The 20,641-nt window shown below is 52.3% G+C and overlaps 1 protein-coding gene across 41 annotated transcripts in view, besides 7 other annotated features; it reads right to left on the bottom strand.

Moving 5' to 3' along the window:
• Window positions 145-214: a silencer, noted in NCBI's record as "silent region_2314". NCBI's record gives its function as "represses an Ori minimal core promoter by ATAC-STARR-seq in GM12878 lymphoblastoid cells {active_cell/tissue: GM12878}" and the evidence as "EXISTENCE:reporter gene assay evidence [ECO:0000049][PMID:35858748]".
• Window positions 3,349-3,949: an enhancer, noted in NCBI's record as "H3K4me1 hESC enhancer chr10:43626383-43626983 (GRCh37/hg19 assembly coordinates)". NCBI's record gives its function as "activates a minimal SCP1, AML or CMV promoter by ChIP-STARR-seq in primed H9 embryonic stem cells {active_cell/tissue: H9 hESC(primed)}" and the evidence as "EXISTENCE:reporter gene assay evidence [ECO:0000049][PMID:30033119]".
• Window positions 3,950-4,550: an enhancer, noted in NCBI's record as "NANOG-H3K4me1 hESC enhancer chr10:43625782-43626382 (GRCh37/hg19 assembly coordinates)". NCBI's record gives its function as "activates a minimal SCP1, AML or CMV promoter by ChIP-STARR-seq in naive H9 embryonic stem cells {active_cell/tissue: H9 hESC(naive)}" and the evidence as "EXISTENCE:reporter gene assay evidence [ECO:0000049][PMID:30033119]".
• The window catches only part of RET (ret proto-oncogene), a 53,283-nt gene continuing 37,174 nt past the window's right edge, over window positions 4,533-20,641 (bottom strand). For 15 of the 41 annotated variants that reach the window (NM_020630.7, NM_001406772.1, NM_001406773.1 and 12 more), the window contains 9 exons: window positions 20,148-20,404; window positions 18,153-18,300; window positions 16,404-16,511; window positions 15,139-15,353; window positions 14,681-14,803; window positions 12,868-12,938; window positions 11,076-11,213; window positions 9,902-10,001; window positions 4,533-8,309 (listed from right to left, as the gene is read on the bottom strand). In NM_020630.7, coding sequence (NP_065681.1) covers window positions 8,130-8,309; window positions 9,902-10,001; window positions 11,076-11,213; window positions 12,868-12,938; window positions 14,681-14,803; window positions 15,139-15,353; window positions 16,404-16,511; window positions 18,153-18,300; window positions 20,148-20,404 — 1,340 coding nt within the window. In that variant the 3' untranslated portion in view covers window positions 4,533-8,129. The remainder of the gene's footprint in view (window positions 8,310-9,901; window positions 10,002-11,075; window positions 11,214-12,867; window positions 12,939-14,680; window positions 14,804-15,138; window positions 15,354-16,403; window positions 16,512-18,152; window positions 18,301-20,147; window positions 20,405-20,641) is intronic. The other 26 variants (NM_020975.6, NM_001406771.1, NM_001406780.1 and 23 more) reach the window with 7 other exon arrangements.
• Window positions 12,829-12,878: an enhancer, noted in NCBI's record as "active region_3286". NCBI's record gives its function as "activates an Ori minimal core promoter by ATAC-STARR-seq in GM12878 lymphoblastoid cells {active_cell/tissue: GM12878}" and the evidence as "EXISTENCE:reporter gene assay evidence [ECO:0000049][PMID:35858748]".
• Window positions 13,629-13,748: an enhancer, noted in NCBI's record as "active region_3285". NCBI's record gives its function as "activates an Ori minimal core promoter by ATAC-STARR-seq in GM12878 lymphoblastoid cells {active_cell/tissue: GM12878}" and the evidence as "EXISTENCE:reporter gene assay evidence [ECO:0000049][PMID:35858748]".
• Window positions 13,859-13,918: an enhancer, noted in NCBI's record as "active region_3284". NCBI's record gives its function as "activates an Ori minimal core promoter by ATAC-STARR-seq in GM12878 lymphoblastoid cells {active_cell/tissue: GM12878}" and the evidence as "EXISTENCE:reporter gene assay evidence [ECO:0000049][PMID:35858748]".
• Window positions 13,929-14,188: an enhancer, noted in NCBI's record as "active region_3283". NCBI's record gives its function as "activates an Ori minimal core promoter by ATAC-STARR-seq in GM12878 lymphoblastoid cells {active_cell/tissue: GM12878}" and the evidence as "EXISTENCE:reporter gene assay evidence [ECO:0000049][PMID:35858748]".

Raw genomic sequence — 20,641 nt, 5'->3', positions numbered from 1 at the left:
GCCCTTTCATTGCTTGTTGTCAAGGAGCTAAATCTGAAATCGGAGACCTAATCAAAAACAGAAATGAGAATGGGAAATAGCCCCTTAACCTGAACTACAACACCTGGCAGACATTTTAAAAGTGCTTTAGAACAAAAATAAGACAGGACCTAAAATTAACTTGTGGCCCTGCTGATCAAACAGCTGGGTAGCCCCTCCCCAACCAGTCAGCTACTGACAAGGGCACTTATAGATACTGTATACAGAAAGGACACTGAGAAAAAAAGATTGTTCAACTTAGAAAACAAAAATCAAGACAAAAAGAAAAATCCCTCACTTGAGATCAATGAGGTGCACTGGGGAAAGGAAAAGCACCAATATCCTGCAATACCTTTAAACACCTGCCATGCATTAACCATACATAGAAATGGTGCGTTGGTTTTCCTAGGGTTGCTGTAACGATTTACCACAAACCGGTTGGTGTAAAACTGCAAAAACCGTAACATCACCCTTGGTTATTCAGCACTCTAACTGGGGAGTTACTGACTCATTGTTTATGCAAACAATCAGAGCAATGTTCTCATCTGTGGGAATCCTGTTGTCATAAACTTATCATTAACCCTGGCAGAAGTCATTAGCAATGCCCCTTCTTCCCTAGATGGGGCACCTATCAGTCTCAACTCATTGGCATGAGTAGTGATGGACAGTCTCATTGCTGTAGATTTCTTGTTGGTTGGTGATGGCCTCTGCCACTGCTAATACTGCATCTGGATCAGTGAAACAAGAGAAGGTAGAACAGGTCACACATCACCTTGAGGCAAAAGCTATTTGGCTTTCTAAGGTTGATCCTCATGGCCTATATGGGATTTGCTCTTGGCCTGCATTGGTCAGCTGAGGTTTGCGTTCAAAGCGTCTCACAGGGACAGTTGCTCTTGTTTCTGTCATAGTGGTCCTGATGTTGTTCCACTGCATCCCATTCTTGTCAAATGAGCACTGTGATGCTATAACAACAGAAGGATCAAGATCTCACAATACGGTTGACCAGAGAGACAACTGAATAATCTCTGAGCAGTGAAGAGCTGGATCTCTAGACTTCCTTGAGTTGGCCAACCTTTTACAAACAAGAAAATGACCGACAAGGGGGACTAAGAGACTGAACATGCAAACAGACAATGGCCAGACCACATACGGCCAGAGGATTTGAATCAGATTCTCTGCAGAACTAGCCAGGAAGCCAAACCACAGCCTCTGTAACAATTATCCCAGAATGGTTAGGACTTGGTCAGGAACTGCAAGCTTCCCTATTTTTTGCCCACTGAACTAAACAGAGAAAGCCACCTGTGTCCCCCAAACCAATCACATAAGAGGCCCTCCTCCTGGTTAGCTGCCTCCAGCTTCCCCAGGCCAACAAGCCCCAATCACAGCATCCCTGAAGGCTTCTCCTCACCCTCCCCACCTTTTATTTTTTACTATAAGGCTTTCCCACTCCTCTGCCTGCTTTTGAGTGTCTGCCAAAAGTAAGTGATCCTGGCTGACTCTCTTGCTATAGCAAGTTCAGAACCAGTGGCTCCTGTGGGTTCTCATATGGGTAGCCTTTGCTTATTTCTACAAAGTTAAAGATTAGAGGTAATTGTGTGAATATCTCTTTAAAAATAGTGTCCAACCACACTTCCTCTACTTTTTCCAGTGACTGTCTTGTGAGACACTACAGCTCTTCCATCCTTGGTGTCATTCTTATTTTTAGAAATCATTTGCTATGATCTTACTTTTCTTCCCAGACACTGAAGTCCCCCAAACCCTCAGTGTGCTCCTTTACCATGGGGTTCTGAGCAATCTAAGAGCTTCAGGCCCTGTGGCCAGAGTCTCCAGGAAAATTCTCAAGCTCTTGAAAACTCCCAGAAGAAAGGCACAAAATATGGAGCAAGGCACACGCCCTAGGGAGAGGGGAGGCTCCAAGACATGGGTGCTGCCTGGCTCCCTGCAGTCCTCTGACCAAAGTCTCTTGCCCCTGGAGACCCCTTCTTCCATGGGAGAGTATAGAAAAGGATTGATGTGCAGGTGAGACAATCGAGCAGCCAAGAAACAGGTTGCTCTTCTGTTAATACATTGAGAAAAATACACAAAAACTTGAATGTTTTAAATGAATTTCATATTTTTATTCAAGAAATTGACAGTCTGCATGGTAAATATTGTCTGTGTATGAAATATCAAACTTGTTTCCTTCTCAGAAAATGAAAAATGATTTTTTTTAGCTTTAGAATTCACTTACCTTGCTTACCAGCACATTTTTAGCTTGAACTGCTCAGTGTCATCTGAGAGGATGCAGGTCTATGATCTCTCCCAGTGTGGTAGTCACAGTGGCTGGGGTAGTTTCAGACCGCAAGCTCCCTCCATGATGACCTTCACATTTCTGCAGCCCCCACAGTGAGATGTGCCCCCATAAAGGATCCCCTGCCCGGGGTCCAGCTGAGAGATCTTGCTTGGCCAGGTCCTGTGATTTAACACCTCAGAGACATCTGCAAAAATACCTGGTCACTTGACACAGCACTCAAATTTGTAGTTGCAAAGATAAACTGTGATTTCTCCAGGGTGTTCAGAGTGTTTGCCTCCTTAACTCCTGGGAGCAGCCTGCCCTTGCAGCCCTCAGACGGCCACTACCTGGCCTCAGCAGCAGGACACAGTAGTGGCCCCACGCTGAAAAGTTCTCTACATGCAGGTTCTTATGACCTCAGCTAAGATGATCCTTCCTGAGTCCCAGCTCCCTGAAGAGGTGGGAGACTCTACACAGTTTCGGTCAAGGCTGCTGCCATGGAGAAGGGACAGGGCCACAGCAGGAGCCCTGGCAGAGAGGGTGCTTTCCCTGCAGGCGCACAAGCCTAGGACTTGCACCTGGAGCATCTTCATGTGGAAGACGTGTGGGGCCACGCACACTGCTGCATGCACCCTGAAGACCCACCTTTCTGCTTTTTCAGGGCCACAGAGGTTAGGATTCCCTAGGACTTCCTAGAACCACCCCCCAGTTGTGAGGACCACTAAACACAGGCGAACCTCAGAGATACTGTTCCAGACCACTCCGGTAAAGCAAAGAAGATTGAAGATCCCAAATAAGTGAGCCACACAAGTCTCTTGGTTTCCCAGTGCATATAAAAGTTACACTTTACACTGTACTGGAGTCTGTTAAGTGTGTGACAGAACTATGTCTAAAAAACAATGTACATACCTTGGTTTAAAGATTCTTTACTGCTTAACAGTACTGATAGAGAGACATGAAGTGAGTGTGGGCTGTTGGAAGAATGGCCCTGATAGACTTTCTCGACGACTCAGCGTTGCCACAAAACTTCAATTTGTGAAAAACGCAATAAAGCAAAGAGCAATAAAACAAGGTGTGCCAGACACTATGCGTGAACGCACCCGAGGCAGAGAGAGGCACCGCTAACTGCTCCACCTGCCTGCGGGAGAGGCTTTCTTTATATGTTAGAAATTATGCTTTCCCTTCAAAATTTCTTTTGTGTATGAAGTATTTGTTCAAGCCCTGTTCTCAGGCACATTCAACTAGATTTCTGCCCACATAAGCTGGCCTCGTGGTGGGAAGAAATCCTTCGTGAAGGTTGGCAGAAAATGTGTTTTTAGGGGAAAATAAAACAGCAAACATACACACACAAATAGTCCTAATGTAGAGTCTACATTAGGGGTGGCTTTTAGCATTAACTTTTCTTGGCGTAGATTTCTACTTTCAGAGGTAAAGGCTACAGCAAACAGCTGGCTCTGGAGATTACGTTCACTTCCAGCCCGTGGTCCAGGCTGAAGGAGGAAGCCGTGAGCAGACACAGACACCCACGGCTGGGAAGCGGGGCCTCATGGGCCTGGGGCGGGCACTGGGCGAGGCGTGCCAAGGCCTGCATGTACACCACCTGGCGAGGCGTGCAAAGGCCCACGTATACACACGTGTATGTGTGTGACACAGGCCGTTGGCATCTGACACAATGCAATCGCAGATGAGACTGATGTTGACAACAACTCCCGTTTGCCCACTGACCCATCAGCTCCACGCCCGGCATGAGAAGCTCAGAGAATTCCTCGGGGAAGACATAAACAGAAGTAGTGAGTATGTCAGGCTTCATGGTGGTTCAGGACAGCATTTTCCCTCACACTTCTAATGGCCTTCCTCAGGACTTGGCATTTTGTATTCTGTCTCCCACAGCTCTAAGGCCAACTTCAAAAGATCAGCAACAAGCAAATTGCTAGAGAACTGTGAAGACCTAAACTTGACACTGGCTGCTGCTTTGTTCTAGGGATGGACACTTTTAAGGAAGGGATTCCTTGAACAGTGGAGTTAGCTGAGTTTTTCAGTTTCTATCAATGTGCCTATTCACACGCAAATGTACCAGATAAGCCAGCGATATCTCCAGAGCCCCTAGTCCTCGACCACTATTGATGCCTCAGTGGTTATCATGATAGAATTCTTTGTGATGTTTTAAATATTGTATGGAAACTACAAAATCAGAAATCTGTTGTTTCCAACTAGAATGTTAAAAAGAAAAAAAGTTTACACATTTTATGATACATGATTTTATTTACACAACTGATTTTCTTAGTCACCTTGATTACAAAAAAAGGAACATGATCTGGTTTAATGACCTTTCATAAATAGATTTTACAAATTTTAATAACTGACAGATTACTACTTAATACTCAGTAATACTTAATACTTAGTAACTTCTGCATTTACGTGTATGAAAATTCCAGTAGAGCTAATAAGGATGGGGACTTTTATAACTCAGGAATAGACAATTAGGTTATTGGTCAAGGATAAATTGGTCAAGGATAAATTCCCCATCACTGGGTCAGCTGTTTAGACCTGGAGTTCTTACCCTCCTGAGAACAAACCTGTTGCAGCAATTCACACTTACTGTGTAGGCATTTTTAATAATTTGAGAAAGTTTATTCTTATTTCTGCATTTAGTAAGACTATCATTAAGCATATCTGAAAACCAAAAGTTTACCATGTCTATAGATATTTGTAAAAGAACTTATCACAGTGTATCTGAAAAACAGCCCAAATTAGAGCCAGGTTACGTGTCCAATAAGCATTTTTCAAACTCTCCCTCTGGGTGTGTGCGCACACACCACAAGGCTCTATTACACACGCATCCAAGCCTTGGCCTCACAAAATGCCACAATTTTGCTGTTTTTGTGAAATGCCTATATAAAATACAGTATTTGAATGAGACTATTTTAAGTCCTATCAGTGCTTTAAGTCTGAAGAGCAGGCAGTGTTTTGGTAATCCGACTCTTTTCTGCGAAGTTACAGTGCTGACAACACAGCCAGAAGAGCTGCTGAGACTTCCCAAAAGCTGCCCCCACAAGACTGGAGGAGTGTTGTGCATCTGTGACCACAAACAAGCAATGAAGAATGACAAGAAGCTTATGAGTCATGGTCAGAATCTAAGAAACAGAAACATCTTGTAGCAGCATTAAATTACAAACACAGGAAGAGCTGATCCATGGGCCTTTCACACAGGCTCTATAAGAGCCAAACACCATCTTTTTCACATCAGAATTGTAATCAGAGGTGTAGCAGTCCTTGGTCATTGTCATTGCTACTTCTAACACAGCTAGCTAGCCTGTCCCTTTATGAGTAAGTTGATAAGATTCAAATTAAAGTGAGTACAAGCCCTACCTGCTCCTAACAGGTAGGATGAGCCACTGCTTTCGCCTCTACTTGGCTGTGGGGTGTGCTGCAGGCTGGTGGCAGGTGGGATTCACAGCAGCAAAGCCTCTGCTGTCAGCAATTCTGGGACTCCAACAGCCCCCTTTCTTCATACTGTTCTCATCAGGGGTAGTGGCTGCTCAGTACCGAACACGTGAGGATGATGTGGTGGGCCCGGGGGACAAATGTGTCTTGTGAGCCCTCTTCCCTGATACCACCATCCACATAGTAAAGATGGCATGGAATCTCTCCATTGTGCTAAATCTAGGAATCATCTTAATCATGATGAAAACCAAATGTCTTCCTAAGGAAAGGTTGCATGATTTAAAAAAAATCATTCTCAAGATCTCGAATGCTGAGCCCAGGCCCATCCTCGGGGCCCCTCTTCCCCTCCAGCCCTGGAGGGGCATTGACACTACCCCCAGGCCCCCCCCGCAGTCTCTCATTCTGAATAAGGACAGGTCATCAGGGCCAGCATTTTTCCTACTGCCTTTTTTGTGTGTGTGCTTCATGTTTAAATTTTTTTGCCTTGTTTGGCGGCAACTAGAAAAATCCAACAGTTCAGGTCCAATTTCATACACCAGGTAGTAAGTGTTGGACCCACACATGTGAACACAGAATGTTGGTGGTCACTGATGGACACAGACCAACACTGGGTGCTGCTGGGCACTGAAGAGAAAGGAATGCTTAACCACTAAGACTCAGAGCTCTTACCCGGTGTGGCATGTCTGCTAGGAGGGAAAATCACCGGCTATCAGAAGTAAAACCACCTTGGAAGTTAAAACAAACTACCAAAAACGAGTCTGCCACCTGGGAACTGAACACGGCTCGGCCAATGTGACGTTCACAAAGAAAGGGCCGGTAGACTTTCCATTCTCAGCATGTTTCTTCCCCTTGTGAGTCCATTACCTTTCACAAAGAAATGTTAACTATCAAACGTGTCCATTAATTTTGCCGCTGAGGGTGAAAGCATCCAGTTAGCATATACACTATCATTTGGATATCTTGGAAACCCAGTGTTAGTGCCATCAGCTCTCGTGAGTGGTACAGGACTCTCTCCAGGCCAGTTCGGGTCTGACATGCCTAAAAATGAAAACAGATCATTTGTTCTGCACTGAAGAACCAAAACTTCAAGTGCAGACAGTAAGGCCTTGGCAAAACTCCCTTTGATGTTCAAACCAAACTCGTGGTTTCTGTGCCAATTATATTAATGGTTTTGTGTTCCAGGTTTCCAAAAACACTGTTATAGTTAGGGGAAATATCATGTGCTCTCTTGGTAAATGTAACTTAACAGACACTACCAATTTTGACTTTTATGAACTTGAGACTCTCTAATCTGATGTATATTTGTCGAACTGCTTAACTCTTTTTCTAAGGCAGTGTAGGGCAACAGCACACTGCTGCACTCAATGGCTTACTGCAGCGGAAACGTTCTATAAAACATTCTCTAACGTAAAGGAGGCACTCGTCTGTTGTCTGAGCCTACAACGGAGAAGAGGACCTTCCAAATCGAGGGTGCACACGGGCCAGCCTCATAGCATCGTCAGCACAAATGGAGTGTGGCACTAGACACAAAGCCAGTGAGGAGTCAGTGAGTCAGGAGGCATGCAAAAGGAACCGTCTCAGCTTGAAAAAAATGCTTGAAACTCCAAGATTTCAAACAATCAATGATGAAGTTAGGAAACAGAAAAAATTTCTAGTATTTAATCAAAGACAAAAGAAGGAGTTTTGGCAAGAACCATATTTACTGTCCATTGTAAGACCACAGCACCACAGACCATGTTCTTTCAAAAAGCAACTGCTCCAGCTTTAGCACTGACTTCATAAGTGACAACCGTCCTGAAGGTGGGTAAGGGAAAGGATGTGAAAACAGCAGTGGGGGTGCGTCCTCCCAGGGCCAGCCAGCTCCTGCAACCTCGCTACCCCTGATGGAGGACATGTGGCTGGGACTGGGGCTGAGGCTTGGCCAGTGGCTGCTCGCCAGTGCCGGGTGGCCTCTGAGAGGCACCTGCCTGCCCAGGAGGGGTCTGGGGGAACCTGGCTGTGCTCCCAGTGCAGGCTGAGTGGTGCTGGTGGCTCCTTTCTCAACTGAATACCTCCCCAGATTTGTATATTTATCCACTTAGTTAAAGTAGAAGTACTATGACTTGATTCCCACCCCAGAAGCGCCTTATTCAACCTGTTCTTGGTCTCCCCTGAGAGTTCCGCCCTGATCTGTTTTTTCCTCTACCATCCTAAGTTGCTGGGCAATGTGGTAATTACACTTATTTTCACATCCTTTTAGAAAAACATAGTTGCAATAATGCCTAAATGTAAACTGGATGCAAAGTCAGACATTTACAAATAAAAAGGTTCAGAGCAGACTTTGGTTTTGTTCAGACCAGAAACATTTTTAAAAAGCATCACAGAGAGGAAGGATAGTGCAAAGGGGACAGCGGTGCTAGAATCTAGTAAATGCATGGGAAATTCTACCATAGAGTTTGTTTTCAATCCATGTGGAAGGGAGGGCTCGAGGGAGGGGGGCATTATTACAGTCCACCAGCGGTGTCTCCTCCTCTGAGAGGCCGTCGTCATAAATCAGGGAGTCAGATGGAGTGGACGCCGCAAGGTCCAAGTAGTCCTGGAAGACAGAGATGGCCGGTCACTCCAAGCCATGTGCCACAACTAGATACAACTCAGTATACAACAAGCCATCCTCAGGGCAGAGGCTCTGGCTGTGTCTCCACCTCGCACCAATCTCCTGACCTCTCCAAGAGACCAGGGCCAGGCTGCATAGAGCTCCCAGGACTCCTGGCTGGCCTGGTCCTGCTCTGAGGTCCCCATCACTCCCCTGGGTGTTGTCTATTCTGTCTCTTCCCCTGGAAAGTCACCTCCCTGGGGAAAGAAATGTGCTCCCTCAGCGTCTTATCTCCAGGGCCTGGAGGGCAGCCTTGGGGGACGCCTCATCTAGCTGCCCCTGGCCCAACCCGGAGATGGGCAGCACGGAACCAGCCCGCTGACAAACCCTTGGGCTCTGGGGGAGCCCACTGCAGCCACATGCCAGGACGCAGCCCCAGCCTGCAGGATGTTTTCCAGCTTTCCCCAAGGACCCCTGCCATCTAGAACGTCACGTCAGGGCTGAGTTCTGAAATCTGACAGCGCTGTCAGGGTGCACAGGACCCTGCTACAGGCACGGGCTCCCCAGCACGAGGGGCCACTGGCGTCTGCTCCTTTCAATGCCCAGCTTGAATGTGCACAGAGGGGCCCAGCGTTTTCCCGGCTGTTTCTCAGCACTGTTCTAGGAAGGCCAGCACCAGTGATCGCTTCTGTTTTGAACAACGCTGCATTCTCAGGACTTGAAGTTTTCATCCAAGCGAGACAGTGATGTGAAGTTTTCCTATGGGGTCCTAGGTCCTGCATCCCGCTATCCAAGTCGGAAGAAGTGACAACTCAGTAAATGTGCCAATGTTAAGACAAGGCCTGTGTGTAAACCCCGTGAGGGCAGGGCTGTGCTGGTCTTGTTTATCTGCATTCCCAGCCTCTGAGACATAGTATGGGTCCTAGCAGCTGCCTGATGAATATTGGTTGAAAATGTGTAGACCTCACAAACTGTACTTCCAGGCACACAGGCTGACTCTGGCCACCCCCCGATATGCTTTGTTTGGCCTGCGTTCGGCTCTGGGAAATTTAAATGAATTGTTAACAATAAAAACTGGGAGACAACATAAACCTCATAAAATTCAGAAGACCCAGCCCATTCCTGGCTCCTTTTTCTGCAGGCCACAGGTACTCCAGCAAGGAACCCTTTGGAGGGGGCTGGCTGTTTGCCACAGTCTCCACTGCTCCTTACTCACTGCCCTCCTCCAGCCGGACCCCCCTCTGGGCATCTGAATTTTGGGCACTTGCTTTAACTCAACTTTCTCATTTTCCATTATGGAAAACTATTTCTTTTTGGCTTTGGAATATTTTCCTCCCATGCCTGTCTGTAGAGAGCTTTTCCTAAATGTCAAGAATCTTGGTTTCTTCATGACTTGAAAAGAAGCCCAAGCGGCCTGGCCTGAGAAGGGTTCAATCTGCTGTCTGCATGCAGGGGAGAGCATGACTCTCTCTCTCTGCACAATCCCACTGTGGCCCCACACTGGGAACTCTGAGGGCTAAAACTACTGCCCTGGGGTGAGGCTGGAGTCTCCCCAAGCCACTTTCAGCTTGTGGGAATTGGACCCAGGCACTCACTCTCCTCTTAACCATCATCTTCTCCAGGTCTTTGCTGATGTCCGCAAACACCGGCCTTTTGTCCGGCTCCTGCTTCCAGCATTGCAGCATCAGGCGGTACCTGGTGGGAAGAGCAGACAGGCCAATATGATCCAAGCAGGGCCAGGTCTCAGAAGGACAGCCCACCACAGCCATCGCACCCTGCCCTGTACCCTGGGCCCAGTGTGCTCTGTCTCCAACTCCAAAGCTATTTCTGCATCGCTGACATCTCTGAGCCTCGTGGGACTGGGGCATGGCCTGTTGCAGGATCCCAGCCCGTGGGCCACTGTGCTCAGGTCTCTCAGAGCTGTGGTCCAGAATCCTACAAGCTTCCCTTCCCTCCAAGGGAGATTCATTTTTACTTCCCTTGCAAAGACACTGGTAAACAGCTCACTGGATACTATGCTTGCTCTGGCAGCTAAGTGAGAAGTGCCAGTCCTTAAAACTCTCAAGAAGAATGAATTGATTGAGGGCTTTTAGGTGTGGAGACAGACAAACAAGAACCTTTGGCAATCACACGTCTGTCCTGCACCGTCCTTGCTTGCCTGGGTGCCCAGGCAGACCACAGCGCTCCAGCTGGCCACCAGCTGGGGGCCCAGGGAGGTGGTACCTGGCTTCTCGGCCCAGCATGCCCCCTCCACGCCCCAGCAGTGTGCACACTCTGTGGAATGCATGTACCATGCATCTCTGCCTCTGGGCAGCCCTTTCTCATCTGTTCTCAGCCTGGTTTCTAAGACCATCTCCCCTGAGAGTGTAAAGGTTTCAACCTCTCAGGTTGCAGCCCAGGCTGCCCCTGCCTGGCTCTGCACCTCCACTCAGGCACCCCTTAACACGTGCCCCCTGGGCCATCTGGAATTACCTTCTCCTCCCTAAGTGTCCTGCTGGGACAGCTCTCAGCCCTTGAGCTTGCATTGCACCAGTCTCTGCTCTCACTCATTTTTATAAGACCCCCTAGGAAGCCCACCAGCCCTCAGTGGGGTAGGACCCCCAGCATCTACTGCCACACCCAAGGATGGCTCTCTAACCTCTGCCCTGCCCACTCCCCACCCCCCACTTCTCCTGGTTTCTCCTGGGGCTGCTCTGGATGGGGAGGGAATGCACACAGATGTCCCCTCCCTTCCCAAGTGAGGCTGGGCCAAAGCCAGTCCCCGCTCACATCTCCTCGCTGCAGTTGTCTGGCCTCTCCATCCGGTGGCCGGTCTTCAGAAGGTTGAAGAGCCGCTCAGGAGGAATCCCAGGATAGGGGTTTCCCCCTAGGGTCACGATCTCCCACAGCAGGACACCAAAAGACCATCTGCAGAGAGTGAAAGGACCAGTGAGTGGCTCCACCTGGCCCTCACAGAGCCCTCCGGGGGGCCCAGATATCCACCCCCACCACCAAGCACCTGCTGACCCTGTCGGCTTCAAGCACAGATGCTCACAGATGTCAGCCTGGGTCTGGCTGCTCAGATGGATGTAGCATGAAGGTGGGGAAGGGCTGCCTGCCTGCCTGGCCCCTACTCCATGAAGCTGAAGTCCTTGCCCAAGCCACTCCCATCAGAGCAGCCACACGCACAAGGGACACATGAGGCTTAAGATGAATTCATGATTAATGAATTAATGATACATTAATTAATATCATGAATTAATCTTAATAATTCTTAAGATTCTCACACTTAAAGCGGTGAGAATGCAGGCCACCAGACTCAGAGTGCCTTGTATAGTTCTTTTGCCATTTCTATGTGCTTGGAAAATTTCATAAAATCTTAGAAGGAAAAAAAGCTATAGAAAAACATTTTAACTGTGAAGGAAAACTCGCTTTGCAATGGGAACAAAATCATATCACAAAACAGCATCGCATGAGCCCATTTAGGGCAATAAAAAGCATACATGTGCACACCACGGAGCACACCAGAGGGCAGCCAGAGGTCACTGGGCGGTGTGGTCCAATGACATTCAGTCTCTTCTTTATGCTTTTCTCTGCCTTTTCCAACTAGCCTACAGTCAGCTTATATAATCGGAAAGCTGTTGTCCAATTGCTTATTCACAGCCCACAGTATTTAAGATGCACATGTTGGCCAGGCGTGGTGGCTCTCGCCTGTAATCCCAGCACTTTGGGAGGCTGAGGTGGGTGGATCATTTGAGGTCAGGATTCAAGACCAGTGTGACCAACATGGTGAAACCCTGTCCCTACCAAAAAATACAAAAAAATGAGCCAGGCGAAGTAGCACGTGCCTGTAATCCCAGCTACTCAGGAGGCTGAGGCACAGGAATCGCTTGAACCCAGGAGGTGGAGGTTGCAGTGAGCCAGGATTGCGCCACTGCACTCCAACCTGGGTGACAGAGTGAGACCCTATCCCCTCCCCCCACAAAAAAAGAGAGGCACATCACACCTCTGCTGACTGTAGAACACTTTAGAGGCAAGAATCCTGTGTTTTAAAAGTGATCAGCTCTTGTCATTGGACCTGGAAGAATGAGATTTTGGCTTCCACCTTTGAGCAGTTTGGGGCACACCAATCTATAAACTCACACAAGGCCATCTTCAGGTGGAGTCCCCAAGCTCCACTTGTGGGTGGGGGCAAGTCACTGGGTGCTCTGCCTGAGCCCAAAGCCCTACTCAGGACCACAGGAGGGTAACTGCTGGGCTGGGCCTGAGTCACCAAGGGACCCAGAGGGAGGCATGGGACTAGCAAGGGTGGGGGAGGCTGGGTTACTGGCCACCTGCTCGGCTCTCATGCTCTACCGGAGCTTTCAGAACTGCAGCCCGGCCTGGCCCAGCCATTTGCCTCACGAACACATCATGAAGGCCCCTCAGTGAGGGGGTCATTGCAGAGGGCTAGCACTGCAGACAGGTGCTCAGGGCCAGTGCAATTCCCTGGCCAAGCTGCACAGACGGGCGTCGTGGCCCCACTACATGTATAAGGGTGTTTCTGTAACCTCCACCCCAAGAGAGCAACACCCACACTTACACATCACTTTGCGTGGTGTAGATATGATCAAAAAGGGATTCAATTGCCATCCATTTAACTGGAATCCGACCCTAAAGAGAAGATGGAATAAAGACATTGAAGTTACTCTAACTCTCTAGGAAGGAGGGGTAAAGGAGAAGGCCAGGCCCTATCCCTGAGCTTTCAGTAACCAGAGGAGTGCTGTAGACACTCCTGGGCACAGAACTGGCCACACACATCTTTGAAGGGGCTGGAGCTCCAGCCTGAACCTCCTGTGGATTGCTGAGATGCTGGCGGGAGTCAGCTGCCCACCCACAGGCACACAGGGCCAGCTTGTCACATGCCACAGGCCTGCTGGTAGTGCAGAGCAGTGCTTCCCTATGCATGGGCCTGGAACTCCCCCTGCAAGATCTCCCCTGGGGTTCTGAGGGCCAATGTGTTTGGGAAACCAACATCTAGCATTTCCATGTTGGGCACTTTGCCAGCAGCTACCACACTGAAGGAGCCTTGAGGGAAGGGATTTGTCTGTGTGCCTTGGGGGAGGCTGTTTTTTCTCTCTTATTGTATTGCAGGGTGCTTTTAGCATCTCTGAATGAGTGCCCCCAGCCCCCTACATCCCTCATCAGTGCTGGGGTCTGACCTAACAAATCCTTTCCAGGGTGACTTGAGAAACAGCTTCTCCACAGACAAGCCTGAAGGTGCAAGTCCATTTTTAAAATGTGTGCCTTGGGTTGGAACACAATCTTACTGTCACTTCTTTTACTTAAACACATGAGGGATTTATGTCCTTAGTGCAGTGTGGCTGTCTTGGCAGCAGTGTGTGACAGTGTAGCCTGCACGTCTTGTATAAGAATGCCTTCAGCTTCTCTCCCTGGAGGACCAGTGCATCAACAGGAAGGCTCTGTCCACACCCTCCACAGGGCAGGGGCCAGCCCCTACCACTTCCCCCCACAGCAGTTCTGAGATCTGCTGTCACAAGGGAAACCCCAGAAGAAACGGAACAGCTCACAACCCCTGGCAACACAAATGGCTTCTCCAGACCCCTCAGAGCAAAGCTGAATCATAGGAAGTCGCCTTTTGTGGTTTTTTTTTTTCTTCTTCTTCTTTTTTGAGCAGGGTCTGCTCTGAACGTCTGGGCGGCATGGCCTTTGAGCAGCCCCTTGAACTTGCCCTGCCTGGGCTGCCACTGGGAGGCTGCAGGAGAGGGGCTGACATGGGCAGAAAAACTAAGAGGGCCAAGGCAGTTGTCCCGGGACTAGGACCATGGTAGGGAACCAGGTGTCCCCAAGGGTGCCCACTGCCTGTTTCATAGACTTGGACAAAGCTGGGCTGCGTTTCTGGATCCTGTCCAGGGGGTTCCTATGCCTCTAAACTCACCCAGCCCAGTGTCCAAGGCCCCTGTGCGGGAGAAGCCTCACTTGTAAAGCAGTTCATTCCTTTTTGCAAAGAATGACGATCCTGCTAATTTCATCCCACCCTTCTTTGAGAAAAGAGCTAAGGTCATATCAGAACGGTGACCTTTATTCTGCAGAAGAGGACTGTTAGTTCCGCAGCATGAGGTGGCCTCTGAAAAGTGCGGCAAGGGCCTCGGGTCAGTATGCTGCCAGGGAGGGGTGCCCTGGAGGCCCTGGAGGAGAAGGACATGGCAGAGGCTGAGCGGAGTTCTAATTGGGTCCTTGGGGACCCAGGGTCAGAAAGATTTGGGGTGAGGGCTATAAAAAGCTTAGAGCTCCACTAATCTTCGGTATCTTTCCTAGGCTTCCCAAGGGCACTGCCTGCCCCATGGTGCACCTGGGATCCCTGGGAGCCCCGCCTCATCCCCGGGACTGGGCACCTGGCTCCTCTTCACGTAGGAATCCTCTTCATAAACATCTCGGGACAAGCCGAAATCCGAAATCTTCATCTTCCGCCCCTCAGCTACCAGGATGTTTCTGGCTGCCAAGTCCCGATGAACGAGCTGTGAGGAAAAATAGCACGAGTCGTCAGGCCATGGCCAGGCAGCAGCGGTCACTGGCTCAGCCTGGTGTGACCAGCAGAGGGGTGGTGTGTGGCCCGGGTAGCGGCCTGGTGAGACCTGGGCCGGGGGTGTGGCATGGCAGGGGCGTGGTGGAGTCAGGGTGTGACATGGCAGGGGCGTGGTGAGCCATAGCATGGCATGCCATGGCAGGGGCATGGTGGGCTAGAGTGTGGCATGGTGGGGGAGTGGCAGGCCAGGGTGTGGGTGGCAGGGGCGTGGTGGGTCAGGGTGTGGCCTGGCCGGGGCTGGCTGGGTGCAGAGCCATATGCACGCACCTTCATCTCGGCCAGATACTGCATCCCCTGTGAGATCTGCCAGGCAAATGAGATGAGGTCGCCCATGGTGAGGGCCCGCTCATCCGGGTGGTCCAGGGAGCTGGAGTTGCGGCTGCCTCCACTGCCCAGGTAGCCAGGCCCCACTTTGCGGCTCTCGCGGAGGAAGCCCCGCAGGGAGCCGTATTTGGCGTACTCCACGATGAGGAGGAGCGGGCCTGGGGGCGGAGAGAGGGGGCCCTGGGCGTGCGGGTCAGGCAGCTTGGGTCTTCCAGGAGCCAGGGGTGGGAGGCCGCAGGGTCCCCAGGCCCGGCCACCCAATGAGTAAGGGGGTGGACACAGCCCTGCCTCAGGCAGCACTGCTGCAGCTCTGTGGAGAGCGCAGACCTTGAAGCCTCAGCTTTCTCTTGAACCACTTGCTCTCTGCCTCCTGCTGCTCGTGTGGGTGCCTCCTTCTCGAGGTGCCTGAGGCAGGCGACACTGCCCTGGGAGGCACCCCTCCCTGATGCTAGGACGCCAAGCCTTTTTGCCTCCTGGGTCCTGCCCCAGTGCAGGCTGGGGATGCTGATGGAGGCAGAGGCCTGCGCAGATGCAAGGGTTCCTGCCTGGCGCTGGGCTCTGCACACAGCCTGCTCCCTGTTCCCACCTGTCCTGTCCCAGGCCCAGCCTCCAACTCTACTGGTGCCGACCACAGTGCCTGCTGCGCACTCCCGGTGTTTGGGTTCCCTATCCCTCTCGCACACACCCACACACGCATGCTGGGAAGCCCCTGAGCAGCATGGTGGTTTGGAAAACCAACAAACCAGGCTGGTCTCCTGGGTCTTTATCTGAGAAATGGTGACAATGTTCCTGCCATGCAGGGCGGGGCTGGGGTCACCTGAGGTCACAGCACACCTGGTGCCCTGTGGTACCCAGGGTACCCTAGTACCCAGGATGCACTGTCCATTCCTAGAGCTCCCTGCCCCACGGGCCCAGCCCCGAACTGGGTGAGGACACATGGCAGTGTCACACCAGAGACCTCTGAGTAGCCCTGTGGGCCCAGGGAGTGCCGCTAGCGCGGGGCCCCTCTGATGGAAAGTGACCACTCAGCCCGTGGACTCAGCTAGACACAAGCTCCAGGCTGGGGCCTGAGCCAGGCTTCCAGAAAGAGGGAGAACAGGAAACAGGGCAGGAGCAGTAGGGAAAGGGAGAAAGAGGGAGAACAGGGCTGTATGGAGCCCCCAGCCTGGGTGCAGTGGCTGCCCACCTCACCCTGCAGCTGGCCTTACCATCCTGGCTGCAGGCCCCATACAATTTGATGACATGTGGGTGGTTGACCTGCTTCAGGACGTTGAACTCTGACAGCAGGTCTCGCAGCTCACTCGGGGAGGCGTTCTCTGAAATGCAGCACAGAGCAGGTTGCAAACGATCGCTCCTGGAAGCCCCTTCCATGACCATACCAGGTCAGGATGGACCTGCATCGCCTTGCCCAAGTTCAGACAGAGAGGCCTGCAAAGACGATGCTGCTTGAGGCTTCTCCCAGCCTTTGGGATCAGTGGACAGGGGCCTCATCCACCCTGAGGAAGAAGCACCCTGAGGAGCCAGCAACCACACATGCCGGATCTTTCCCCAGAGTGTCCCAGGGCTGGGCCACCTGTGTATGTGGCATTATGTTCCTGTAGTCATTGTCTTTAGAAGACAGTCGTCCACAGAAATTCCCCGCATTAATCATTCTGGAAAGGTGAGGGGTACCCACACACCCACTTGTCGGGAGAGGCCCTGGAGAAGGTGGAGAGCCATAAAGGAGGTCCACACACCGCGACCAGGCTCCCCATTTCCCGCTCCTGTCTGAGATGGCCAGCCTGGAGCCCAGGCATCTCCTGTGCTGCTGATGTATCCGTCACACACACGTCAGCAGCTCACACTCCGTTAGTTACCAAGAAGACCCACATTAGCACCTGAGATAAAGCAGTGTTACCAGTGCACTGCACACCTGACATTCTGGCTTATTCTTAATGAATAGCATGATTCCCCAGAGAGTCTAACTGTAGAGGCATGATGGAAACAGGACGAGGCACCACAGGGATCACCTGCCCAGCACATGCGTCCCGATGGTGGCCAGAGCTGTGCTGGAATGCCCAGCAGGTGCCTGGGCCTGAAGGTATTCCAAGAGTCAGAACACATGGCTAAGCCATCCCTCCCAGGTCAGCTGTCCCACTGCCCAGCTGTGCCGTGCCACCTCCTCTGTCCTGAAAGGTTGTCTGGAAGGGAGAGGACAGTTGGGAGTTGGGGCCCCAGGACCCCTTGGACCAGGTGTGGGCAGCCTGGGGCTGTGCATGGCTGCAATGGAAATCCAAGGGTCTCCCTGTGCCCCTGGAGAGTCCGGGGTTTTACTGGCTTGGAGGTGAACCCAGTCTGGGGCTGGGTAGGCATCTGGAAGCACCCTGTGCTGTGCAGCCCCCGACTACTGCAGATAATTGTTATGTACACCAACCACTCTCCCTCACCGCCATTCAGCCTGGCTGTTCACAGGGCTGGGGCCTGGCCACAGAAGAGGGGGCTACTCAGTGCAGTCGCATGCCTGTGTGGGTAGGTGCATGTGCCCATCGAGAGCCAAACTTGTGGCATGACTGGGCATGCAGGCCAGACAGGCCCATGGGGGTCTCTTGAGATTGAGGGCCAGTCCTTACTGGTGGTCTCTTCACCAAGACCCCAGGAGACACTGGGCTGAGAGGAATGAATGGGGCAGACTGGAGTGAAGACAGCTGTCAGCTCAAAATCAAAGGGCTTTTTAAATGTTTAAAGCTTAGATCTTCAGTGGCACTGGCACAGCAACACCTCTAGAGCCTTCCAGGGAGAGCAAAGTCCTCGCTCTGCTTCTCTAGGCCCAAGTGGCCCATGGTAGGGGTCCCCCAACTGCAGCCGCTCTAGAACAGCATTGGGGGCTCTTCAGGGTCCCATGCTGGGCAGGAGGGGCCTCACCCGCCCCCCGCCCCGGAGACTCCCCCAGGGGCACTGTGCCTGTGCCTGGCAGGTACCTTTCAGCATCTTCACGGCCACCGTGGTGTACCCTGCTCTGCCTTTCAGATGGAAGGCCGTTGCCTTGACCACTTTTCCAAATTCGCCTTCTCCTAGAGTTTTTCCAAGAACCAAGTTCTTCCGAGGGAATTCCCACTTTGGATCCTCCTATGTTGGAAATGAGGGAAGGGGGAGAAGAGGGGGGAAAAGTGTGAGGATGACAGGGGAGGAAGAAGGCAAGACCCTTAAAGGAGGCCCCATGGACAAGTTCCAATGTGCAGAGAACCGGCTGTCATCTGAGCCAGCGGCAACGCTGCCTGTCTCTGCCCTGGGCAGGACCCCACAGCCAGGCCCCTGAAAGCTGCTACATGACAGGTGTGGTCACAGCATGGCTTGGACTCAGTACTTCGACCCTCTCTGGTTCCTGGTCTACTGTCTCCCCTGACCCCTGCCCCAGGACTAAATGAGCACCAGGCCCAGCCCAGGACCTCTGACTACAGTGGAAGTGTCCAGGACAACTTCTCTACATAGCCACCCCTGCAAAGAAAGGCGCCACCATGTTCCGCCTCAGAGTGTGGAAGCACTGCTCCTCAAGGGCTGCCACTGGCCCTCACGCACCCGCTCACCCTGCCTGCTGGCACTACCACCCTGCCCTCCCACCAAAGTTCTATCCACACATTGGGCCCACTTGGGACTGCTCCGGATGCCTTCCCAGACCCCCACCCTGGCCCCCAGTACTTGAACTCTGACCAGGGAGGCCAAAGCCTGCCATGATCCAGGAACCCTCCCTTGATGTGCCAGCTCTGGGCATCCGTCACCCCAGGTCTCCTGCTCCTGGGCTGTCCTGGTCTGGCCCCACATTCCCTGGGAACCCACAGTCAAGGTCAGTGTCGACACTGCCATGGCTTCCCTGCCGCTGTCACCTCCACAGCTGGCACTGGAAACCTGTTTACCACACTCTAGAGACTGCAATAAGCACATGAGGGCGACATCAACCTGATCCTCTCAAATACTGAGGTTGAGTCATGGGTCCAAGACCTGGTGCTGATGAGTGTGACTCTGGAGCTGACTGGGGTTAGGGTGGTGGTCTCTGCCAGCAGCAGCCCAGACCAGTGCGGCCTTCCTGGGCAGCCTCACACAAACCCACTGGGTTTATGAAGGACTCTGGTGGCTCATCCTAGAGCCCTGCCATGAGGCTAAGCTGCAGCCAGGCCAGGATGGGGACCACCAATTAGGAAAGCTGGTGGGGAAGCGGCAGTGGCCACATCTGGGAAGGCCTCCTTGGCTCACACCCTTACCGAGGGCTGGGTGTTGCCTGAACGGAGGCTCCAGGGCCGAGGCCTCAGGCTGAGCTGCACTGTGGGATATGGCCCCTCCCAGGAATCCCAGGCCACCTCCCAGCCTGAGATGGGAACTGCCAGGGCCCTGTGGCCACTGGGTGCTCAGCTTCCTCCCTGGAGGCTCCTGCCGAGGAGCTATTCACGCCACCATAAGCTGCGTGGCTCACCGTTCACTCACACCCTTGGCTCTGAGCCTCTGTTACTTCCAGAACTGGGCTTGGCTTCCAGCGCCCTGGACAGTGCTAGTAGGAACACTGAAGGGGCAGGCCACCACCAGGAGAGGGCAGAGGCCTGCCTGGCCGGGACAAGGAGGCTCCAGGATACTCGGCACAGCCTGGAGGCTCTGAGTAGCACATGCAGACCTGCAGGCCAGGCTCCCCAGAAAGGCACCCCCTTCTGACTTCAGTGCCCCTCCATCCACACTGCTGCTCCCCTGCCCGATGCTGTGACCCTGACCACTGCCTCTCACCTAGATGGGAACGGCACCTCATCACAGTCCCACCCCACAGACTGTCCCCACACAGCGCCCTATGGAAATGGGGGCAGAACACAGGCCTCGTCTGCCCAGCGTTGGCAGCCCCTCACAGGATGGCCTCTGTCTCCCCAGCTGGCCTCCCTCCCTGGAAGGCAGCTGGGGAGGGCAGGGGATCTTCCCTGCCCCGCAGGGACCCTCACCAGGATCTTGAAGGCATCCACGGAGACCTGGTTCTCCATGGAGTCCAGCGAGGGCCGGCGGGCACCGGAAGAGGAGTAGCTGACCGGGAAGGCCTGGGCGGGCCTCCGGAAGGTCATCTCAGCTGAGGAGATGGGTGGCTTGTGGGCAAACTTGTGGTAGCAGTGGATGCAGAAGGCAGACAGCAGCACCGAGACGATGAAGGAGAAGAGGACAGCGGCTGCGATCACCGTGCGGCACAGCTCGTCGCACAGTGGATCTGTGGGTGGGGGTGGTGTGAGGCTTGGCACCGCCAGAGGCTCGGCACCACTGGGTACAGGCTGCGTATGCTCTGCCTCATGGCTCTCCAGCCTGCCGTGTCCGCGCCAGCTGGGAAGTGGCCATGGAGGTGTGGGAAGGCCTGAGAACACCCCATCGAGCATGGGTACTGCCATTTACTGCCCCCTCCTAGACCACTATTGCCCTCTTACAGATGGAGACAGAGGCTCAGAGAGGC

Source organism: Homo sapiens, chromosome 10 (genome assembly GCF_000001405.40).
Source record: "Homo sapiens chromosome 10, GRCh38.p14 Primary Assembly".
In the NCBI taxonomy this organism is placed as follows: Eukaryota; Metazoa; Chordata; class Mammalia; order Primates; family Hominidae; genus Homo; species Homo sapiens.
The sequence above is the reverse complement of the archived record's forward strand: the minus strand, read 5'-3'. Positions and strand labels throughout refer to the sequence as shown.